Source organism: Homo sapiens, chromosome 4 (assembly GCF_000001405.40).
Source record: "Homo sapiens chromosome 4, GRCh38.p14 Primary Assembly".
NCBI lineage: Eukaryota > Metazoa > Chordata > Mammalia > Primates > Hominidae > Homo > Homo sapiens.
Genome location: NC_000004.12, coordinates 9,479,338 through 9,500,088, shown reverse-complemented (window position 1 = coordinate 9,500,088; position 20,751 = coordinate 9,479,338). Strand labels below are relative to the sequence as shown.

The following is a 20,751-nucleotide window of genomic DNA, read 5'->3' as shown; positions in this document are numbered from 1 at the left end:
GGGCATTCTCCATGTGCCAGGAGCAGCCAGGTGGCCTGTGAAGCCTTCTCATGGGAAATGCCCAGGTAGGAAGAGCACAGCCAGGAGCCAAACCCCCGAGTGGCCACTCTATGTGCCTGGATCACCTTCAAGTCTGCTCAACATCAGAGCCTCTGTTCCTTGGCACCATGGACAATGGAATTGACTCAGAACTGGGAAGAGCTGTAGGCCCACTATCCAGGCACCCGCTCCCCGTTTGCCCAGCATCCCAGGGGCCAACACCCTTCCAAATATCACCTTGCCCTCCATTCAGAGGTGAATCATCCGAGCTTCAGTTTGCCCAACTCCGACTGGTTTTGCTGGAAGCTGCCAGGAGGATGTCGCCAGCCACCTCCAGAGAACACTCAATCTACAGATGCTGAGGGGGAACTGGAAGCACACAGTGCTGGCCTTCACCCAGCTTACGGTGGCACCTCGGGACCGCTTCTGAGTCTGCTTTTCACTGAAGGTCGGCGTGAGGAAGGCAGCGTTCCCTCCCAGATTTAGAAAATGTCAAGTCTCCCACCGCACCCTTTTGTGTTTCTTACAGGGCCTGGGGTGCTTGCAGCCACCACACTAAGGGCTCCAACATGTTCCCTCACACACTCAACAGAGAAGGAACCTGTGGCTCATATGGGAGACTCCCTGTCCAAGGCCACAGAGTCTGGCCCCAGGGCCCACTAGAGGCTTCAAGAACCAAACTCACATGAGGGCAGAGAGGAGAGATGGGGCCAGTTTAGGGCTGGGAGAATCCATAGAGCTATGCTGAGGCAGGCATGGAGCCTGGAGGTACGGACGAGGGTCTCGCCAAAGTCAGGGGAAGAGAGGCTGTGGGGAGTGAGGAATGGTGTGGGCCAGCCCCGGGCCTGCTGGGGTGCAGCTGGGGGCTCCATGGCCCTCCCACGGCCCCCACTTGTCCTCACCCAACTGTTCAGAGCTCTTCATGGCGGGGGTGTCCCTCTCCTCTGGCCACAAGAAGAGCGGGTGGAGGAACGGCACCTTCAGGTCTTGTAGGGGGTCTGCCCCTCCACCAGCCTGTTTCTCGTGGGCATCGCAGCTGAGGCTGTAGCCGGGAAAGGGTAGTAACCGAGCGTACCTGGCCTCCAACCACCACTTCCAAGGCCCCTACTGGGCACAGGGTGACCCCACCGTGGCTTGGAAGTGGACCCTGTCCGACGTGGGGGTGGTCGCTGGAGGGCCGAGGATGCCTACACAGGCACGTGGAGGGTGTGAATCCAGAGTCTGTCTCGCCCTCTGGACCCATGGGGGGCCAGCAACGCCGTCACACCCTCCTCTGTCTCTGCCAGCCGCTCCGCCACTCCCTTCTCCTGGCTGGGGCTGGCAAAGGCAGGCAGGTATGGGGGGCGGGGCCTCAGGAGGGAGGAAGGGCTGGTGGGCGGGGCCTACGGACACCTCGCCCCGCCCCAGTAGGGCTCCGCACTCCCCACACCCCGCGGTCCCTCTAGGTCAGGGCCTGTCACCACCGCGCCCAGAGGCTGGGACAGACGGGCTTGCATCCGAGGGGCGCTCCGTCCCACGCGGCCTGGGACTCCCCAGTCAGGACGGTACAAAATCTCTTTATTGCTCATTTTCTGTAAAAAATCGTGGCTCTCGGCGGACCCTGGGGATAGGAGGTGCAAAGCGCGCTCACACGCGGCCCGGGTCCGAGGCCGAGAGCTGGGGGGATCTGGAGCGGGGCCGGGTCGCAAGAAGACCCTGACCCTGCTCCGGCGCTGGGGCGCCTGCTAAGGGCCCGCAGGGTTTCAGCTGTATTTTCGAACCACTGTGCTTGGCCGAGGGGTTCCCAAGGCTCCACTCCGCCTTAGAGGGGGCTTCGGAAGCCCGGAGGTGACCCGGGCTCTGGGAGGGGCGTCCCCAACGTGGGGGAGGAGAGACTGGGGCCTTTGAAGACAGCACGGGACTCGGAGGGGGTCCCCCCGACCTAAGACGTGGTAAACTGAGGCCGGCGAGGAGGGAGGCTGAGTCCGGGAACCAGGCGGCCCCTCACTGCTCCTCCGGCCCGTCGCCCCCCTGCGCCTGTTCGTAGGGGCAGGGCCGGCGGCCGAGTCCAGCGGGCTTGGGGCCAGGCCTGGGCACCGGGGGCGGCGCCTCCTCCTCCGCGCCGTCCCCATGCTCGCCCTCCGCGTCGCTCTCGTCCGAGTTGTCCTCCTCCAAGTAGCGGTAACCGCGCACCTTGTGCTGGGGCCGCGGGATGCAGGGCTGGCGCGGGGCCACGCCCCGCCGCAGCTTCTGCTGCATCCGCAGGTAGGAGACCGCGGCGGCCACCAGCGTCACAAGCAGCACCGCCAGCTTAGCCTGGGTGTACGGAGAGGGATGCCAGGGACCCGCGGCCGCCTCGCCCCGCACCTTCCCCGCCTATGCCCCTCGCTGAGATAGGCCCTTCCCTCCTCCGGGAGCCTCCCGGGCCACGCGACCCTCAACTTCTCCAGCCGCTCCACCCACGCTTCCTGGACCGCCTCCTGCAGGCGAGGCTCACATCCAGCACTGTCCCTTACAGTCGCCATGCCCCTGGCGACCTCAGTGTCCCACTCTGTACGGGGACAATGCAAATCCCTTTGCCTCATAGGGTGCATGTGCCAGTGTTGATAAAGTGCTGGCCACAGGCCCTGCCTTCCCAGGGCTCACAACACTGTGTCCCTGACACACCCGTGGGCTGTAGTGATTCTCTTCATGGGGATTTGACTATAACCCGCAGTCAGGAATGATTTCACACCATAGCTCAGTACATACACACATATCTGTATGCATACTTCCTGCTCTTTTCTTTTTTCCAGACACGGTCGCTCCGTTTCCCCACTGCGCCCCCTCCCTCCCTTCCCCCAACCACTGCTGGAGCGCAGTGGCACGCTCACTTCAGCCTCAATCTTCCAGGCTCAAGCCATCCTCCCACCTCAGTCTCCCAAGCAGCTGGAACTACACGCACGCGCCACCACACCCAGCTAATTTTTAAATTTCTTGTAGAGACAGGGTCTCCTATGTTGCCCAGGCTGGTCTTGAACTCCTGGCCTCAAGCAATCCTCCTGCCTCAGCCTCCCAAAGTGTTGGGATTACAGGCGTGAGCCACCATGCCCAGCCCACTCACTGCTTTTCTTTTTTCTTTTTTTCTTTTTTTTTTGGGAGACAGAGTCTCGCTCTGTCCTCCAGGCTGAAGTGCGGTGGCACAATCTTGGCTCACTGCAACCTCCATCTCCCAGGTTCAAGCCATTCTTGTGCCTCAGCCTCCAGAGAAGCTGGGATCACAGGGACGTGCCACCATGCCCAGCTAATTTTTGTGTTTTTAGTAGAGACAGGGTTTCACAGCCTGTTACCCAGGCCGGTCTCAAACTCCAGATCTCAGGTGATACCCCCACCTCAGCGTCTCAAAATGCTGGGATTACAGGCATGAGCCACTGCTCCCGGCCCACTCCCTGCTATTTTTAGTTCTATTTTTATTTTTATTTTTATTTTGAGACAGATTTTCGCTCTTGTTGCTTAGGCTGGATGGAGTGCCAAGGCCCCGTCTCGGCTAACTGCAACCTCCGCCTCCCAGTTCAAGCGATTCTCCTGCCTCAGCCTCCCGAGTAGCAGCCACCTGCCACCACGCCCGGCTAATTTTTGTATTTTTAGAAGAGACGAGGTTTCAGCATGTCGGTCAGGCTGGTTTCAAACTCCCTACCTCAGGCAATCCACTCGCCTCGGCCTCACAAAGTGCTGGGATTACAGGAGTGAGCCACCGTGCCCGGCCTTTAGTTCTATTTTTAAAAAATGTTTAGCAACTGGGACTTGCTAGACCGGCCACCATCTTTTGGGAGCAGAGCATGAGTAGCTTGCTCCCGTTCAGGCCATGAAGGGAGACAGACGCAACATCTGGACAACCGGGTACCAAACAGCCCACAGGATGGCTGTGATGCACCCACAAATCCCCTCAGAGATGGGCAAACTGAGACTGGCTGGAGGTGGTCCAGTAAGTGGGGTGCTGAGTTGGGGGCCACCCAGTGGGCTGCAGGAATGGGGCCTTGGCCCAGAGACTGGCTTGGGAAGGGGTGGCGTTTAGGAAGCTGTGAAGCCAGGGCAGGGGCTAAGGAAATACCTGTCATTGGGAATGGGGCCCCCAACCCTGCCCAGTCTCACCTTCATGTGCAGGCTCGAGCCCAGGTACACGGTGAAGATGGCCACAGCCTGCCACCAGTGGTAGATGGTGAAGATGAAGTCCTGTCTCTCCTTGTCTTCGTACAAGATTCCCAGGAGTGCTGCAGGCAGGCAGTACAGGGCAGGCAGGGGAGAGGTGTCACCTGGGGCCTGGGGCTGCCTAGCTACCATCTATGAACTTTACTAAGCCCTGTATGTGTCCCAGCCCGGGACCAGAGAACCCCTAGAAAGTGCTGTAAGCCGGTCCTGGCCTGCCCCCTGGTGGAGACCCTGGTCACCAAGCTGCTCACACGCTAAGCAGAAGTAGGAGCAGGTGCGCCGGGCTGTGTGGATGCAGGTGGTCCCGCTCTGCACCACATGCGTGGCCTCAAAAGAAGAAAGCTCTGTGCTTAGTCATGTCCTGTCCCCAACCGCAGGTGTGCAGTGCCAAGCTTGCAGGCGCTGTTTCTCCTCCTCAGCCGGGACTAGAGAGATCGAACTGTTTGCAGCTGCCAACTCTGCAAATCAAACCTGAAGCTAAGCATGGAGAGGGGGCTTCCTTTCCAGTGAGTCCTCCCAGGGTGGGCAACAAGAGTAATGCATTGGGAGTCAGAAGATGCACACTCGTTCTCAGGACTGTAACGTTGGCTCTGTGGGTGATTTGGGTACTTAACTCCCCAGAGCTGCTTTTCCCAATGGTGAGATGAGCCTATGCCTATTGTGTGCTGTGTTCTGAAGTTCTAAAGTGAGAAAGTGGGCATGGCACCTGCCAAATCATAGGGGCCACTATTAACACCTTCACCACACACTCAGGACATGAACACTCCTGTCTTGGGGCCCTGCAGGGTGACTTTACCCCCACAGTGCTGCTATGAAGAGACAAGGATCCCCCAGCGTTCACCTATGGAGATGGGATATGGAGCTGGGCAAGGGGATGCCATGACCAGACAGGGCACAACATGGGTCCAAGATACCCAGGTTGGACTCTGCCCAGAATTGGCTATCCTTGGGCAAAACAGCCAAGAGACTGTGGTGCAGTATGAGGCTCCAGCCCCTGCTACAGACAGAGACTCCCAGCCAGCCTCTGTCCTACCAGCAGCAGGCATGACCTGTGCCATTCCACACCCCCAAGGATGACGTTCAAATCTGTTCATGGCTTCGGCCCATCAGAACAGACACTGACATGGATGCCCTGCAGGACTGTGCCCATGTGTGTTAGCTGTGTGTCACTGCATGTGCCCATCTGTGGGCAGGGAGCATCCTGGAGCTGAACATGGGCCCACTCGCTGCCTTTTGCAAACAGGGCCCTGTTCCCCAGCAGCCCAGACCTGGGGCCTGGACTCTGGTACTGAGCAGACTGGGTTGGGGCTGCAGGCCTGCTCCTCTCTATACAAAGTCCCATGTCTGTATCTATGCCGTGGATGTACAACAGGCCACTTGCTCCTACCGCATGCTCCGTGAGGCAGAGACCAAAACATATGCTCCAAGTGTCACGAAAACTATGACAGGGTAAGCTCTGTCCCCTGGTATGAAAAGGGAGAATCCCTGATGTGTTTTTCATACTGTCCCTAAGGGGTGTCCACAGAGCCCCACACCTGCCCCGTGTAGCCACGAGATTTCACACTGACCCTCCAGTGTTGATGGGGCCCTGTGCCCACCCTGAGTTATTAACGGAATGTCCATGACGTGGAACCCCCACACCTGTCTCCAGGGTGTCCACGCCCTACCCATCTGCCCCCAGTGTGTCCATGAGACTTCCCTTCCACCCCTGGAGTGTCCACAGGAAGCCCCACCGGCCTCCGCCATGTCCACAGGACGCTATGTGACCATAGGACCCCATATCTGTCCCTGGGATGTCTATGTCTAGCCAACCACCCACAGATAGCCATAAAGAACCCTGCCCCACCCTCCCAGTGCCCACAGCTATACTCACTGCTGAGTCCAGTTTTGTTCAGGGTGCTGCCCACACCCCAAAGGGCGGCTGCCACACAGAGGATCCAGCTGTGTTGAAGGACCCGAGACACAGGGGCCCAGAAAAAGAGGATGAAGGTGAGCAGCAGGTGCACCCCTGCTCCAGCCACGAGGGAAACCGGGCGTGGCAGCCACAAGCCCAGCAGGCCCAGGAGTGAGGCGACTGAGGCGTCCAGGCTGTAAGCCACGAGGAGGTAAGCCAGCCGCTCCAGCCCCACCGAGCACACGCCATAGCCCTGCGTGGGGACAAAGGGTGAGTGTTGAAGTCCGGAACAGCCCGGACCCCAGTCTCAGCCCTCCCCGCATCGCGGGGGTTGCCTCACCCCCCTGCGATGGGTGTCCTAAGAGCCATGGGGGGTGAGGGGCTGGCTTGTACTCCCCGCATCGCGGGGGGTGAATCACACCTTTGCGATGTGGGTCCTAAGAGCCAGGGAGGGAAAGAGGGGCTGGCTCTTACTCCCCGCATTGCGGGGGTGCCTCACCCCACTGCGATGGGGGTCCTAAGAGCCAGTGGGGGAAGAGGAACTGGCTCTTACTCCCCGCATGGTGGGTGGTGCCTCAGCCCCCTGCGATGGGGGTCCTAAGAGCCAGGAGTGGAAGAGGGGCTGGCTCTTACTCCCCGCATCGCGGGGGGTGCCTCACCCCCCTGCGATGGGAGTCCTAAGAGCCAGGGGGGGAAGAGGGGCTGGCTCTTACTCCCCGCATCACGGGAGGTGTGTACAACCCCTGAGATATTGGCAGTAATATCATCCTCTCCCCCTGAACCTGAGAAACAATATCTCAGGAGCATGTAAGCCCCCTGAGATATTGGAAGTAACATCATTTTCTCCCCCTCCAGATATTCGGAACAATATCACAGTGGGTGTGTACAGCCCTTGCGACATTGCCGCTAGTATCTTCCTCTCCCTCCCAGGATAGAAGGAACAATGTCACAAGGGGGTGTACACCCCCTGCGATATTCGTGGTGATATCTTCTTCTCCCCCGCTGCCTATTAGGAACAATGTCACACAAGGGGTGTGCACCCCCTGCTATATTGGGAGTGATATCATCCTCTCTGTCCCTGGATATTAGGAACAATAACCCTAGGGAGTGTACACCTCCTGCAATATTCAGACTAATATCCTCTCGCCCCCTGGATATTAGGATCAATATCACAGGGGTGGTGGGCACCCCCGGCGAAATTGGAAGAAATATCATCCTCTCCACCTTTGGATGTTCGGAACAGTATCACGGGGGAGGTCTCCGCCCACTGCGATTTTGGGAGTCGTAACATCCGCTCCCACCCAGGATATTAGGAACAAGATGACCGAAGGGATGTACACCCACTGCGATATTTTCCATAATGTCATCCTCTACCCACTGGCTATTAGGAGTAACATCATAGAGGGGTGTACACTTTCTGCGATATTGGGAGTAATATCCTCTCCCCCACGGATATCGGGAACAGTTTTATTAATTATTAATATTAATAAATATAATAACAATTAATAGTAATCATTGATATTAATAACTACAGTGGAGACAGTAAAACTTAATGTGGATTAAAAATATTCATGATTACAATTAATAATAGCAATATCAATATTAATAGTAAAATAATAATATCAGTAATTAATGTTACTTAAATCCATCATAAGTGATGTTGGTAATAAAACAATGATTAATGTTAATATTAATAACTAATATTATTAAAAATGGCACTAATAGTAAGAATTAATTTTAATCATGCACAATCATATCTTTAAAATAATCATTAATGACTAATAAAGTTATACTATAAATTAATATTACCATTTATAATCATTAATGAGACTGATGTTTAATAATTCATAATATTATTACTCCTAATACCGCAGGGGGTGTACACCTACCTGTGATATTGTTCCTAATATCCAGGGATGGAGAACTTGATATTAGTTTTAATATCGCAGTAGGTGTACACTCACCCTGTGACACTGATCCTAATATCCAGAGGGTGGAGTATGACATGACTGCCAACATAGCAATGAATGTACAGCCACCCGGTGATATTGCTCCTAATATTCACGGAAGAAGCGTATGCTATTACTCCCAATATCGCAGGGAGTGTACACCTCTTCTGTGATATTGTTCCTAGTATCCCGAAGGGGAGAGGGTGACAATAATTCCAGCATCGTAGGCTGTGTTCACCCAGCCTGGGATATTGTTATTAATATCCTGAAAGGGAGAGGATGATATTACTCCCCATAATAGATAGATATGCCTCCCCATAATAGAGCAGGAGGTGTACACCCACCCTGTGATATTCTTCCTCATATTAAGAGGAAGAGAGGTTGATATTACTTCCAATATCGCAGGAAGTGTACACCCCCGTGTGAGATGGTCCTTCGTAATATTCCAAGGCGGAGGGGGTGATATGACTACATATATCGCAGAAAGTGGACACCCCCTAGGGATATTGTTCCCATGATCCTGGAGGGAAGAGGATGATCTTACTTTAAATATCACAGAAGGTGGACACGACCCCACTGATATTGTCTCTAATTGCCACTTGGGAGAGGAGGATATGACACCCAATATCGCAGGGAGTAGAAACACCCCTGTGATACTGTTCTTAATATTCAGGGAGAACGAGGATGATATTGTTACCAATACAGACGGTGTACACCCGTCTGTGAAATAGTTCATAATTTCCAGAGGGGAGATGATATTACTCACAATGTGATAAACAGGCTGTGAGTCCACTGCGGATCCTAAAACCCAGGGGGGGAAGAGGGGCTGGCTCTTACTCCCCGCATCGCGGGGGGTGCCTCACTCCCCCTGCGATGTGGGTCCTAAGAGCCGGCGGGGGGTATGAGGGGCTGGCTCTTACTCCCCGCATCGCGGGGGGTGCCTCACCCCCCTGCGATGGGGGTCCTAAGAGCCAGAGGGGGAAGAGGGGCTGGCTCTTACTCCAAGCATCGCGGGGGGTCCCTCACCACCCTGCGATGGGGGTCCTAAGATCCAGGGTGGGAAGAGGGGCTGGCTCTCACTATTCCTGAGGGAATAGTTTAGAGGGACTCATTCCCTGCTATCGTGGGTGAGATGTCTATGAAAAGGACAACCAGTGGGGGAGGGTAGCAAAATTTTGAAGTAGATTTCTGAGACCCCAGCACAACCAGGAACAGAAACTCCACACTGCTGAGAGGATAGTTTGCACATTGGTCTCCTCCGATCTGCCCAGCTCACTCTGCTGTTTGTCCTGAGGAGGAAACAAAACAAGGCTCCCGACGGTCCCTCAACACTCACTTGAAGGTGTGGCCCGTCCCCCCACACCTGAGGGTATTTCTAGTTAGGTGGGACGAGAGACTGAGAAAAGAAATAAGACACAGAGACAAAGTATGGAGAAACAACAGTGAGCCTAGAGGACCGGCGCTCAGCATACCAAGGACCTGCACTGACACAGACCTCTGAGTTCCCTCAGTTTTTATTGATTATTATTTTTATTATTTTAGCAAAAAGGAATGTAGTAGGAGGACAGGGTGATAATAAGGAGAAGGTCAGCAACGAACATGTGAGCAATAGAATCTATGTCATAATGAAGTTCACGGGAAGGTACTATGACTGGACGCGTACGCAAGCCAGATTGAAGTTTCTCTCCACCCAAACATCTCAGTGGAGTAAAGAATAACAAGGCAGCATTGCTGAAAACGTGTCTCACCTCCCACAATAGGGCGGTTTTACCCCCATCTCAGAATTGAACAAATGTACAATCGGGTGTTAAACCGAGACATTCAGTTCCCATGTGCAGGCAGGAGACAGTGGACTTCCTCTCTCTCAACTGCAAGAGGCTTTCCTCTTTGACTAATCCATCTCAGCCAGACCCTTTACTGGTGTCGGGCTCGGGGACGTTCAGGTCTTTCTTCTCCCACGAGGCCACTGTTCAGACTATCACATGGGGAGAAACCCTGGACAATACGCTGCTTTCAAGGGCAGGGCTCCCTGTGGCTTTCCACAGTGTATTGTGCCCCTGGTTTATTGAGACTAGAGAATGGCGATGACTTTTACCAAGTATACTGCTTGGAAACATCTTGTTAACAAGGCACGTCCTGCACAGCCCTAGATCCCTTAAACCTTGATTTCATACAACTCATGTTTTTGTGAGCTTCAGGTTGGGTCAAAGTGGCTGGGGCAAAGCTACACATTAACAACATCTCAGCAAAGCAATTGTTGAAAGTACAGGTCTTTCTCAAAATGGAGTCTCTTATGTCTTTCCTTTCTACGTAGACACAGTACGAGTCTGATCTCTCTTTCTTTTGCCTACACTCACTGAACTGTCCTTCCTCTCTGCTGGGCCATGACCACGGAGAACAGGTCCACTGTCTTCCCTGTGTGGTGCACCATGGAGGCTCAGGCTCCGTCCTCAAGGCTGGCAAGAAGACAGGGTGAGACGTGAGCCTCCTGATACAGGTGATGTCTGTGGAGCCCACAGGACTGGACCTCACACTGCAGGGCTGGAGGCACAGACTATTTACTATTCTGTGTCCTGGGGGGCTCAAGGCATAGAGCTCCTTATTAGCCAAAGTCACCCAAGTTCCCCAACCTCTAAGGATTTCCTCATAATAATGCAAGAAGAAGAAGAGAAAAGTGAGTGTCCATAGAAGTTTTGGGGTTCTTCCTCTAATCAGGAGAAAGCTGGTGTGTATTCTTCGCTTCTTTCTTTTCTTTTTAAACATCCAACTGCTTTAATTTTCATCTTTTATTATGAGAAAATATACCACGTATAAATATGAAAAATTATAAATATATATTAGTTCATATAGAATGGCCAGTATAAACATTTACTGTTTCCACGCTTTTTCAGTTTACAGTTTCATGACATTAAGTACGTTCACATTGTTTAGCAACCATCACCGTCATCGTCTCCGGAACAGTTTTATCTTTCAAAATGGAAATTACACCCATTCACCAAGCTCTCCACTCCTCTCTCTCGCCCGCCCCTGCGGGCCACCTTTCTAGTGTGCAACTCTATGAGTTTAACTACTCTAGACACGTGATAGATAAGTGGAATCATACCGTGTTTAATTTTTTTGTTTTGGAAACAGAGTCTTTCTCTGTCACCCCGGCTGGAGTGCAGTGGCATGATGTCGCCTCACTGAAACCTCCACATCGTGGGTTTAAGCGATTCCTGTGTCTCAGTCTCCCGAGTAGCTGGGATTACAGGCGTGCGTCACCACGCCCAGATAATTTTTTATTTTTAATAGAGACCATATTGGCCAGGCTTGTCTCGAAATCCTGACCTGAAGTGATCCGCCTGGCTCAGCCTCCCCAAGTGCTGGGGTTACAGGTGCGAGCCACTGAGACTGGGCGTGTTTATCCTTTTGGGATTTATTTATTTCAGTGACGATAATGTTTTCAAGGTTCATCCATGTTGCAGCCTGCGTCAGAAGTGCCTCTCTGTTTTTTTTGTTGTTGTTGTTTTTGTTTGTTTTGTTTGTTCGTTTGACTTTGTTTTGTTTTGTGTTTCCATGGAGTCTCACTCTGTCGCACAGGCTGGAGTTCAGCGCCACAATCTGGGCTCACTGCAACCTCCGCTTCCCGGGTTCCAGCCATTCTTGTGCCTCAGCCTCCCGAGTACTTGGGACTATAGGCACACGACGCCACGCTCGTCTCATTTTTTGCATTTTCAGTAGAGACAGGGTTTCACCAAGATGGCCAGGCTGGTCTTGAATTCCTGACCTCAGGTGATCCGCCCACCTCGGTCTTCCAAGACGTTGCGATTACAGGCGTGAGCCACCGCACCGGCCAGAAGTGCCTGCCTTTTGAAGGCTGAATAATCCTCCATTGTATGAAGGAACTACAGTGTGCTTTTTCATTCATCTGTCCACGAACCCTTGGGTTGTTTCCACATTTTGGCTGTTGTGAATAATGCTGCTATGAATATGGGTGTACACAAATCTGTCTTCCACTCCTGGCTTCTAATTCTTTTTGGTAGGTACCCACAAATGCAACTGCGGGAACATCTGATCATTCTTTTTCCAATTTTTCCAGTACACGCCATACTATTTTCCCCATTCCTTCACGGTTTTACATTCCCTCCGATCATATTCGAGCATTCTTACTTCCCTCTAGTCTCACCAATGCTTGTTTGTTTATCATATCCATCCTAATGTGTGGTATCACATTCTTGGTTTGATTTGTGCTTCCCTATGATGAGTGATTTTGAACATCATTTTAGATGCTTATTGGCCATTGCTATATCTTCTTTAGGAACACGTCTACTGGAGTCTTCTGACCATTGTTGATGGGATGCTTTGGGTTTCTTGTTGTTTAGTTCTAGCTGTTCTTTATATATGATGGCTATCAGCCTCTTTTCAGATATATGCTTTGCAAATCTTTTTCCTAATCCATGGGTTATCTTTTCACTCAGTTCGCAGTGTTTTTTGCTGCACAAAAGTATCTGTCATTTAGATGTAATCCAAGGAATCTAATTTTCTTTTGTTGCCTATGCTTTTGATATCATATCCCAGAGAACATTGTCCAATCTGATGTCATGAAAGTAGGGCCAATGTTTTCTTTTAGGCGTATGATACTTTTAGCACTTGGGGTGAGGTCTTTGATCCAGTTTGTGTTAATTTTTGCACCTGTTGTGACATAGGGTCCACCTTCATTCTTCTGCATGTGGAAATCAAGTTTCTCCAACACCATTTCTTGAAAAGGCTGCTTTTCCACCAATGAGCTTTCTTAGCACTCATGTGAAAAATCATTTGAACATATAGGTGAGAAGTTATTTCTGGTCTCCAAAACAAACAAACAACAACAGACAACAGATAAGGATACAGCATGGGCCGGGCGCGGTTGCTCACACCTGTAATCCCAGCCCTCTGGGAGTCCGAGGCTGGCGGATCACCTGAGGTCAGGAGTTGAAGACCAGCCTGACCGACAGGGAGAAACCCCTGTCTCTACTACAAATACAACATTAGCTGGGCGTTCTGATGCATGCCTGTAATCCCAGCTACTCGGGAGGTGGAGGCAGGAGAATCGCTTGAACCAAGGAGGCAGAGGTTGCGGTGAGTAAAGTTTGCACCATGACACTCCAGCCTGGGCAACAAGAGCGAAATTTCATCTCAAAACAAACAAACAAAAAAAACCCAGCATGATTTCAAGAGCAGAAAGAGAAGAGCTTAAAAACCAGCATAATGAGAAAGTTAGGAAGCTTCTTACCAAAGCATCTGGAAATATGCAAGCAATTCTTGTGAACTAAAATTTTCATACTGTACTATCAAACACTAGAACTCACTTATTCCATCTTTCTGTATTTTGGGACCCAATTATCCACTTGTCTTCATTCCCTATGCCACCCGTTTTCTTCCTAGCGTCTGCCAACCACCTTTATACTTTCCACCTTCCTGAGATTCCTTTTGTGTGTAGGTGTGTGATGGAGTCTCTTTCTGTTGCCCAGGTTGGAGTACGCAGGCACAATCCGGGTTCACTGCAAGCTACGCCTCCGGAGTTCAAGCACTTCTTGGGCCTCAGCCCTCTGAGTAGCTGAGACTACAGGCACGCATCACGAAGCCCGGCTCATTGCTTGTGTTTTCCGTAGAGATGGGGTTTCACCATGTTGGCCAGGCTGGTCTCGAACTCCTGGACTCAAGTGATCCGTGCGACTCGGCCTCCCGGAGTGCTGGGATTACAGGCCTGAGCCACCACACCTGGCCAAGGTTTCCTTTTTTCTTCCTACATAGAAGTGAGGACATGAAAAATTTGTCATTCTGTGCCTGGCTTATTTCATTTAATATACAGACCTGCAATCTCATCCATTTTCTCTGCAGCAGAGAGGAGTTTCTTCCTTTTTAGGCTGAATAATACTTCACTGGGTGTGTATACCACAGTTTCTTCATTGAAACAAATTTCTGAAGAGCAAATATTTTTAAAATGTCTCGGAATGTGAAACTTCAGGGATACTGTGCCCATCTTATTCTTTTCTATTTCCCATCTTATGTATATGCAAGTGTATAATAAAGTAGCAATCAATGTGTGTATAAATCTATATATTGAAGAAATGTAAAATGTAAATGCTAAGTGGTGGCTGGGCACGGTCGCTCATGCCTGCAATCCCAGCACTTTGGGAGGCAGAAGCGGGCGGATCACCTGAGGTCGGGAGTTCAAGACCAGCCTGACCAAAATGGAGAAACACTGTCTCTATTAACAATACGAAAAAAAAAAAAGAAAAAATTAGCCAGGCATGGTATCGCATGCCTGTAATCCCAGCTACTTGGAAGGCTGAGACAGGAGAATTGCTTGAATACGGGAGGCAGAGGTTGCAGTGAGCCGAGACCGTGACATTGAACTCCAGCCTGGGCAACAAGAGTGAAACCCTGACTCAAAAAATAAGGAAAAGAAAGAAATAGAAAATGCGAAATGGTAAGAAAAAACAGCATAATAAACATTTGTATGGTGTTGATGGACAATGCATTTAAAGATAATATTTGAGGAAATCATATTACAATTAATTTCTGTTCTTACTCATTGGAGCTTGATGCCTCTAAAAACTTCGTCATTGGAACCACCTGTGGTGCTTTAAAAGAAAAAAAAAAAATCCACATACTCACACAGGTGCAAGGAAATCAGAATCTCAGGTATTGAGACCCAGGCCTCATCATTTGTAAGCTCCCCAGGTGATTTGACTCAAAGCCAAGATTGAGAACGGCAACATGGATCTCTACACTTAACCTGCCTAAATAGATTCTCTAGAAGCAGTTCATAAAAAAACTCCACATGAACTGTGGAAGAGGATATGAATTTGATGTACAGTATGTCCTCACTTAACATCTTTGAAATTCTCTTGGAAACTTCACCTTGAAGCAAAATTATGTATAGTGAAACCACTTATTTTTCATCAACAGTATAACTACACAACTTTGAACAACCAATTGTGTTGGAGGACCTCCTGTACATTGTTTCCATTAAGTCAGTTTTCAGGGAATTGCAAAACGAAGTGAGGACTTCGTGTATATAAAAAGATGGTTGTGATTCCACCTGGATGACAGGGTTATTGCTCAGAAACTAAAAGAGGCTGCTTAGGTATAGAGGATTCTGTGATAAGGTTTCTGCTAAACAAAGGGTCCCAGAATCCTCACCCATTCCAGTGAAAGGCATAACGAAGAAAGCAATATTCACAAAGGAAATGCGGAAAGGAATAAAAGCCATCAAGCCACAAAAAGAATGTGACTAAGGGGCAGGATTTGCAGATGTAGAGATTTACTGTGGTTGCTCTTTCTCACCCACACAAGAAAAACGATGGAACAGATCATGAGATTCGACTGTTCTGCTGAGCAGCCTCCGCAGGGCACTTTGTATGTCCCTGTTTCTCAGGCTGTAGATGAAAAGGTTCAGCATGGGGGTGACCACAGCGTACATCATTGACGCCACTACACCATTCCTGGGGGTGGTGACACAGCTGAAGTCAGGTACATGCCAATGCCTGTTCCATAAAATCAGCAAACAACTGCTAGGTGAGAGTCACAGGTGGAGAAGGCTTTATACTTCCCATCTGAAGATGAAATCCAGAGAATGAAGGTGACGATTTTAAATTAAGAAAAAAGGATCCCTGAAATGGGAAGAAAACCAAACATAGTACTATGGAAATACGTGAATATGCTATTGATGACGCTGTCAGAACAGGCAAGTTTGAGAAATTGAGAGGGGTCACAGACAAAATTAGAGATTTCCACATTCTTGATGATGTTGAATTGTAACACAATTCAACTGTGCAGCTGGGAATCCAACAGGCTAAGGAAAAAGGACACCAAAACGAAAAAGACACAGAGGTGAGGATTCACGATGACTGGGTAATGCAGAGGGCGACAGATGGCTACAAAGCAGTCATAGGCCATCACAGTCAGGATCATGCCTTCTATACATGCAAAAAGGACCAAGAAAGACATCTGTGTGAGGCAGCCCTCATGAGAGATGACTCTACTATACGACTGCATGTCCACAATCATCTTGGGAACCGTGGCCGAGGTGAAACCGATGTCAGCCCAGCACAGGTTGGAGAGGAAGAAGTACATGGGGGTGTGGAGGGGGGAGTCAGAGCTGACAGCCAGGATGTTGAGCACGTTCCTCAGCACCGTGGCCAGATACGTGGACAGGGACAGGGACAGCAAAGCGAGGACCGACTGCAGCTCTGGATCCTCTGAAAGTCCCAGGAGGAGGAATTCTCAGACACCTGTGAGATTCCGTGGCTCTGTGTGTCTTGGACACCTTGAGAAGGAAAGAGGATTGGAAAAATAAAAGATAAAAACCAGCCCTTAATGCTGGATGCAAGCAATTCACAAGGAACATCTTCACACTTGCGGTCCATACACCGCCAGCAATGTTTCTCAGTTGTGACAATTCCAAAAATCTCAGAATTATTACGTGATTTACTTTTTTGCTATACAAGGCTTTCTGTACATACTACTTTAGAGAAAATCCACTGAAGAATATTAGAAGACCAAAACGTCATATATAACAAATCCGTAATCTCAGTAAAATACAGCCTACTCTTTTCAGAAAAAATACAATGCCATGACAATGTCCTTCTCTCTTGAAGAAAAAGATCTCAGTGTAATTGAAAGAAATTAAGAAGCCGTGAAATACACTCTACTTTATTCTGACACCGTGCTACAACTTCTATTGATGTAGAATATGTAAAAGGACGACACAAGAGCTAGGACCACATTATCTGAAAACGACATCGAACCTTATAGTTCTCAATCGGGAGACCTTTTCACATGCCTGTTACTTTTCATATTTATTATCATCCTTCGGTTTTCTGACATCATTTCTTCATAAAAGTACATGCACGCTCAAAGATGGGAGCTGTGTTTCCAAATGAATTGAATATATAACTCTTGGCCCAGCGGCATGGCTCACACCCGTAATCCCAGCACTTTGGGCGGCCGAGGCTGATGGATCACCTGAGGTCAGGAATTCCAGACCAGCCTGGCCAACATGGTGAAACCCCATCTCCAGTGAAAAAAAAAAAAAAAAAATTAGCCGGGCGTGGTGGCTGGTAACCCTAGCTACTCGGGAGGCTGAAGCAGGAGAATCCCTTAGAACCTGGAAGGCAGAGATTGGACACCCTGTGATAGGATTTTTGATATGCTAGGGAGATATTGCTCCAGACAGCAGAGTGGGCGTACACCCTGTGATATTATTTGTAATATCCTAGAAAGATATTGCTCCTAATATCACGGTGGCTCTACACCTTGTGATCTTAATTGTAATATCCTACAGAGATATTACTCCTAATAATACAGTGGGTGTACACCCTGTGATATTATTCATAATATATTACAGAGATACGACTCCTGATATCACAGTGAGTGTACACCATGTTTGTACACCCTGTGATATTTGTAACAACTTAGAAATATATTACAGCTAATATCAAAGTGGGTGTACACCCTGCTATGGTATTTGTTATCTACTAGGTAGATATTACTCCTAATATCACAGTGAGTGTACAGCACGTGTGTACGGACTGTGAAATTATTCGTAATACCCTAGGAAGATATTACTCCTCATATCACAGTGGGTGTACACCGTGAGTGATATTTTTTTCTAATATCTAGCGGGGGAGAGGATGATATTCCTTCCAATATCACAGAAGGTGTACACCCCCCTGTGATATTGTTCCTAATATCCAGGGAAGGAGAGCATGACATTATTCGCAATATCACTGGGGGTGTACCACCTCCCGCTGGGGTATTGTTCTTAATGTCAGTAGGTGGAGAGAATGATGTTACTTCCAATATCACAGGGGGTGTACACCACCTCTGTTTGTAAACACCCCCTGTGATATTGTTCCAAATGACCTGTGAAAGAGTAAATATGACTCCCATTATCGCGAGGAGTGTTCAGCCCTGATGATATTGTTTTCTAACATCTAGGGAAGAAGAGTATGCTATTACTCCCAGTATCGCAGGGGTTGTACACCCTTTTGTGTTTTTGTGCCCAATATCCAGGAAAATAGAGTATGATATGATATTACTCCCAATGTCGAAGTAATTGTACAGCACCCCTGTGATATTCTTGCTAATATCCAGAAAGGAAAAGAATGATATTACTCCCAACAGCATAGAAAACGTATACCCGTGCTGTGGTATCCTTCCCAGTATCCAGGTGGGGAGAGGATCATATTACTTCCAATGTCGCAGGGTGTGTACACCCCCTCTGTGATCTCGTTGTTAACATCCAGGTTTGGGGAGGACGACATGACTCCCAATATCGCAGGGGGAGTACGCCCCCCCTTGACCTTGTTAGTCATTTCCTGGGTGAAGAGGATGATCTTACTCCCAATATCGCAGGGTGTGTACACATCCCTGTGAAAATCCTCCTATTTTCAGAGGGAGAGACGATGGTATTACTCCCAGTACCGCAAGGGGTTTCCACAGCCCTCTGATATTCTTACTGATATCCATAGGGAGAGAGGATGGTATGACTCCCAATATCGCAAGGGGGGGGGTACAAACCCTGTGATATTGTTCCTAATATCCAGAGCGAAAGAGGATGATATGACTCTCAATATCCCAGAGGGTGTACACCCCTCCTGTAATATTGTTCTGAATACCCTGGGAGGGAGAGGATAAGGTTACGTTGAATATCACAGGGAATGTACACCCTCCCCTTCTGATACCCTTCCTAATGTCCACGGGAAGAGAGGAAAATTTCACTCTCAATATCACAGAGGCAGTACACCCCACCTGTGATGTTGTTCCCAGTATGCAGCGGGGGAGAGGAGGATACTACTGTCAATATCGCAGGGCTGTTCACATCCCCAGTGACATTTTTTCCTAATATCTGGGGGAGAGACAATTATATGACAGCAAAGGTAGCAGGGTCTGTGCATCCCTTCCTGATATTGCTCCTAATATCCAGGGGGAAGAGGATGATATCTAATATGAAAGGGGATGTACATCCCCCACCCCTACGATATTGTTCTTAATAATCATGAGGGGAGATGATGATATTACTCCAAATATCGCAGAGGTTGTTCACAACCCCCTGTGATATTGTTTCTGATATCCGGGGGGGGGGGAGAAAATCATATTACTTCCAATATTGCGGGTGGTGTATACTCCACCTGAAATATGGCACCGAATATCCAAAGAGGGTGAGGATGATATTCATACCAATATTGAAGTGTGTGTACACGCCCCTAGTGATATGGTTTTTAATATCCAGTGGGCGGGAGGATATTAGTCCCAACATCCCAGAGTGTGTACACTACACCTGTGATATTGTCCCTAACTTCCAGAGGGGAGAGGATGATATCACTCCCAATATCTCAGAAGTTGTACATACCCTGTGATATTGTTCGTCATATCCAGGGAGGCGCAGGATGACATTCCACTGAATTTCGCGACAAGCGTACACGCACAGTGTGATATTGTTCCTAATATCCAGGAAGGGAGAGGATATTACTCCCAATAAAGCAGTGGGTGTACATCACCCCTGTGTTATTGTCTCTAATATCCGGGGCCGGGGGATGGGGGGAGAGGATAACATTCCCTCAAATGTAGCAGGTGGTTTGACGCACCTTGTGTTGTTGTTTCCAATACCCAGGGGGGAAGACAATAGTACTATTTTTGATAGTCCTATTCATCCGCTCCACCTTTCCGGAACGCTGAGGCTGGGAGGCAGCATGCAGTTTCCGTGTGATCCCCAATACCTTTGCTGTCTTCTGTACCAAGGCAGCCAAAAACGCAGGCCCCTTGTCTGAGCCGATACCTAAGGGCGGTCGAAATCTAGGAATGAGATCTCAAAGAAGCACAGGGGTTACTTCACGAGCTTTCTCAGTTCGTGTTGGATAGGCCTCCACCCATCCAGAGTAATTACGCCCAAGAACTAGTACATACTTGTCACCTCCACACTTTGGCATCTCTGTGAAGTCCACCTTTAGACCTTCAAAGGGGGCTGCTCCATAAGCTCGTATGCCGGGCGGAATGGCTGGACCTTGCCTCGCATCATGCTGTCAGCAGGTAACACATCGCTGCCTCACGGTTTTGGCAAGGGCTGACAAAGGCGAGATGTAGAAATACCGGCCTAACAACTTTTCCAGTGACTCCTGACCTCGATGGGTGGTTTCTTGCACAGCCAGTACAACTGCAGCTCCCAGCAGCTGTGGCGCAGCTACTCTCCCATCTGGTAACCGAATCCATCCTTCCTCCATCACTTGTCCTTCCCTCTACCTGGAGAAAGTTCTTTTCTTCTTTAGAATAGGTAGGTTCAAGATCAGGTGCTTGAGGGAGCACTGATGCCCGGAAGGGGGCAGATGCTGCTTTTCGAGCCTCTGAGTCAGCGCGGGAATTCCCCAAGCCCAGCAAGGTGGAAGCTCGCTGGTGTCCTCTGCAATGCGTAACTGCCACCTTGTGGGGTTTCCATACTGCTTCTAATCATTGCAAGATTTCTTGTTGACATTTTCTGTCTTTTCCCCCAGAGTTCAATAGGCCCTTTTCTTTCTATCATGCTCCATGCACTTGAAAGGTTGAAAAGACATACCGAGAATCAGTGTAAATGTTGACAGTCTCACCCTCACTGAGTTCTAAGGCCCGAATGAAAGCAATGAGTTCAGCTTTCTGGGTTGAAGTGGCCTGGGGCAACGATCTGGCTTCAACAACAGTGTC

The 20,751-nt window shown here is 49.6% G+C and overlaps 1 long non-coding RNA gene and 2 pseudogenes across 1 annotated transcript; all 3 read right to left on the bottom strand.

Moving 5' to 3' along the window:
• Positions 1,576-6,354, bottom strand: UNC93B7 (unc-93 homolog B7 (pseudogene); annotated as a pseudogene).
• On the bottom strand, positions 15,259-16,486 carry OR7E85P (olfactory receptor family 7 subfamily E member 85 pseudogene; annotated as a pseudogene).
• On the bottom strand, positions 19,376-20,262 carry LOC124900662 (uncharacterized). Its single transcript, XR_007058022.1, has 3 exons — positions 19,991-20,262; positions 19,665-19,855; positions 19,376-19,520 (listed from the first exon to the last, which is right to left on the bottom strand). It is a non-coding gene; the product is annotated as an uncharacterized LOC124900662 (long non-coding RNA).
• Positions 20,263-20,751: the final 489 nt, after the last annotated feature.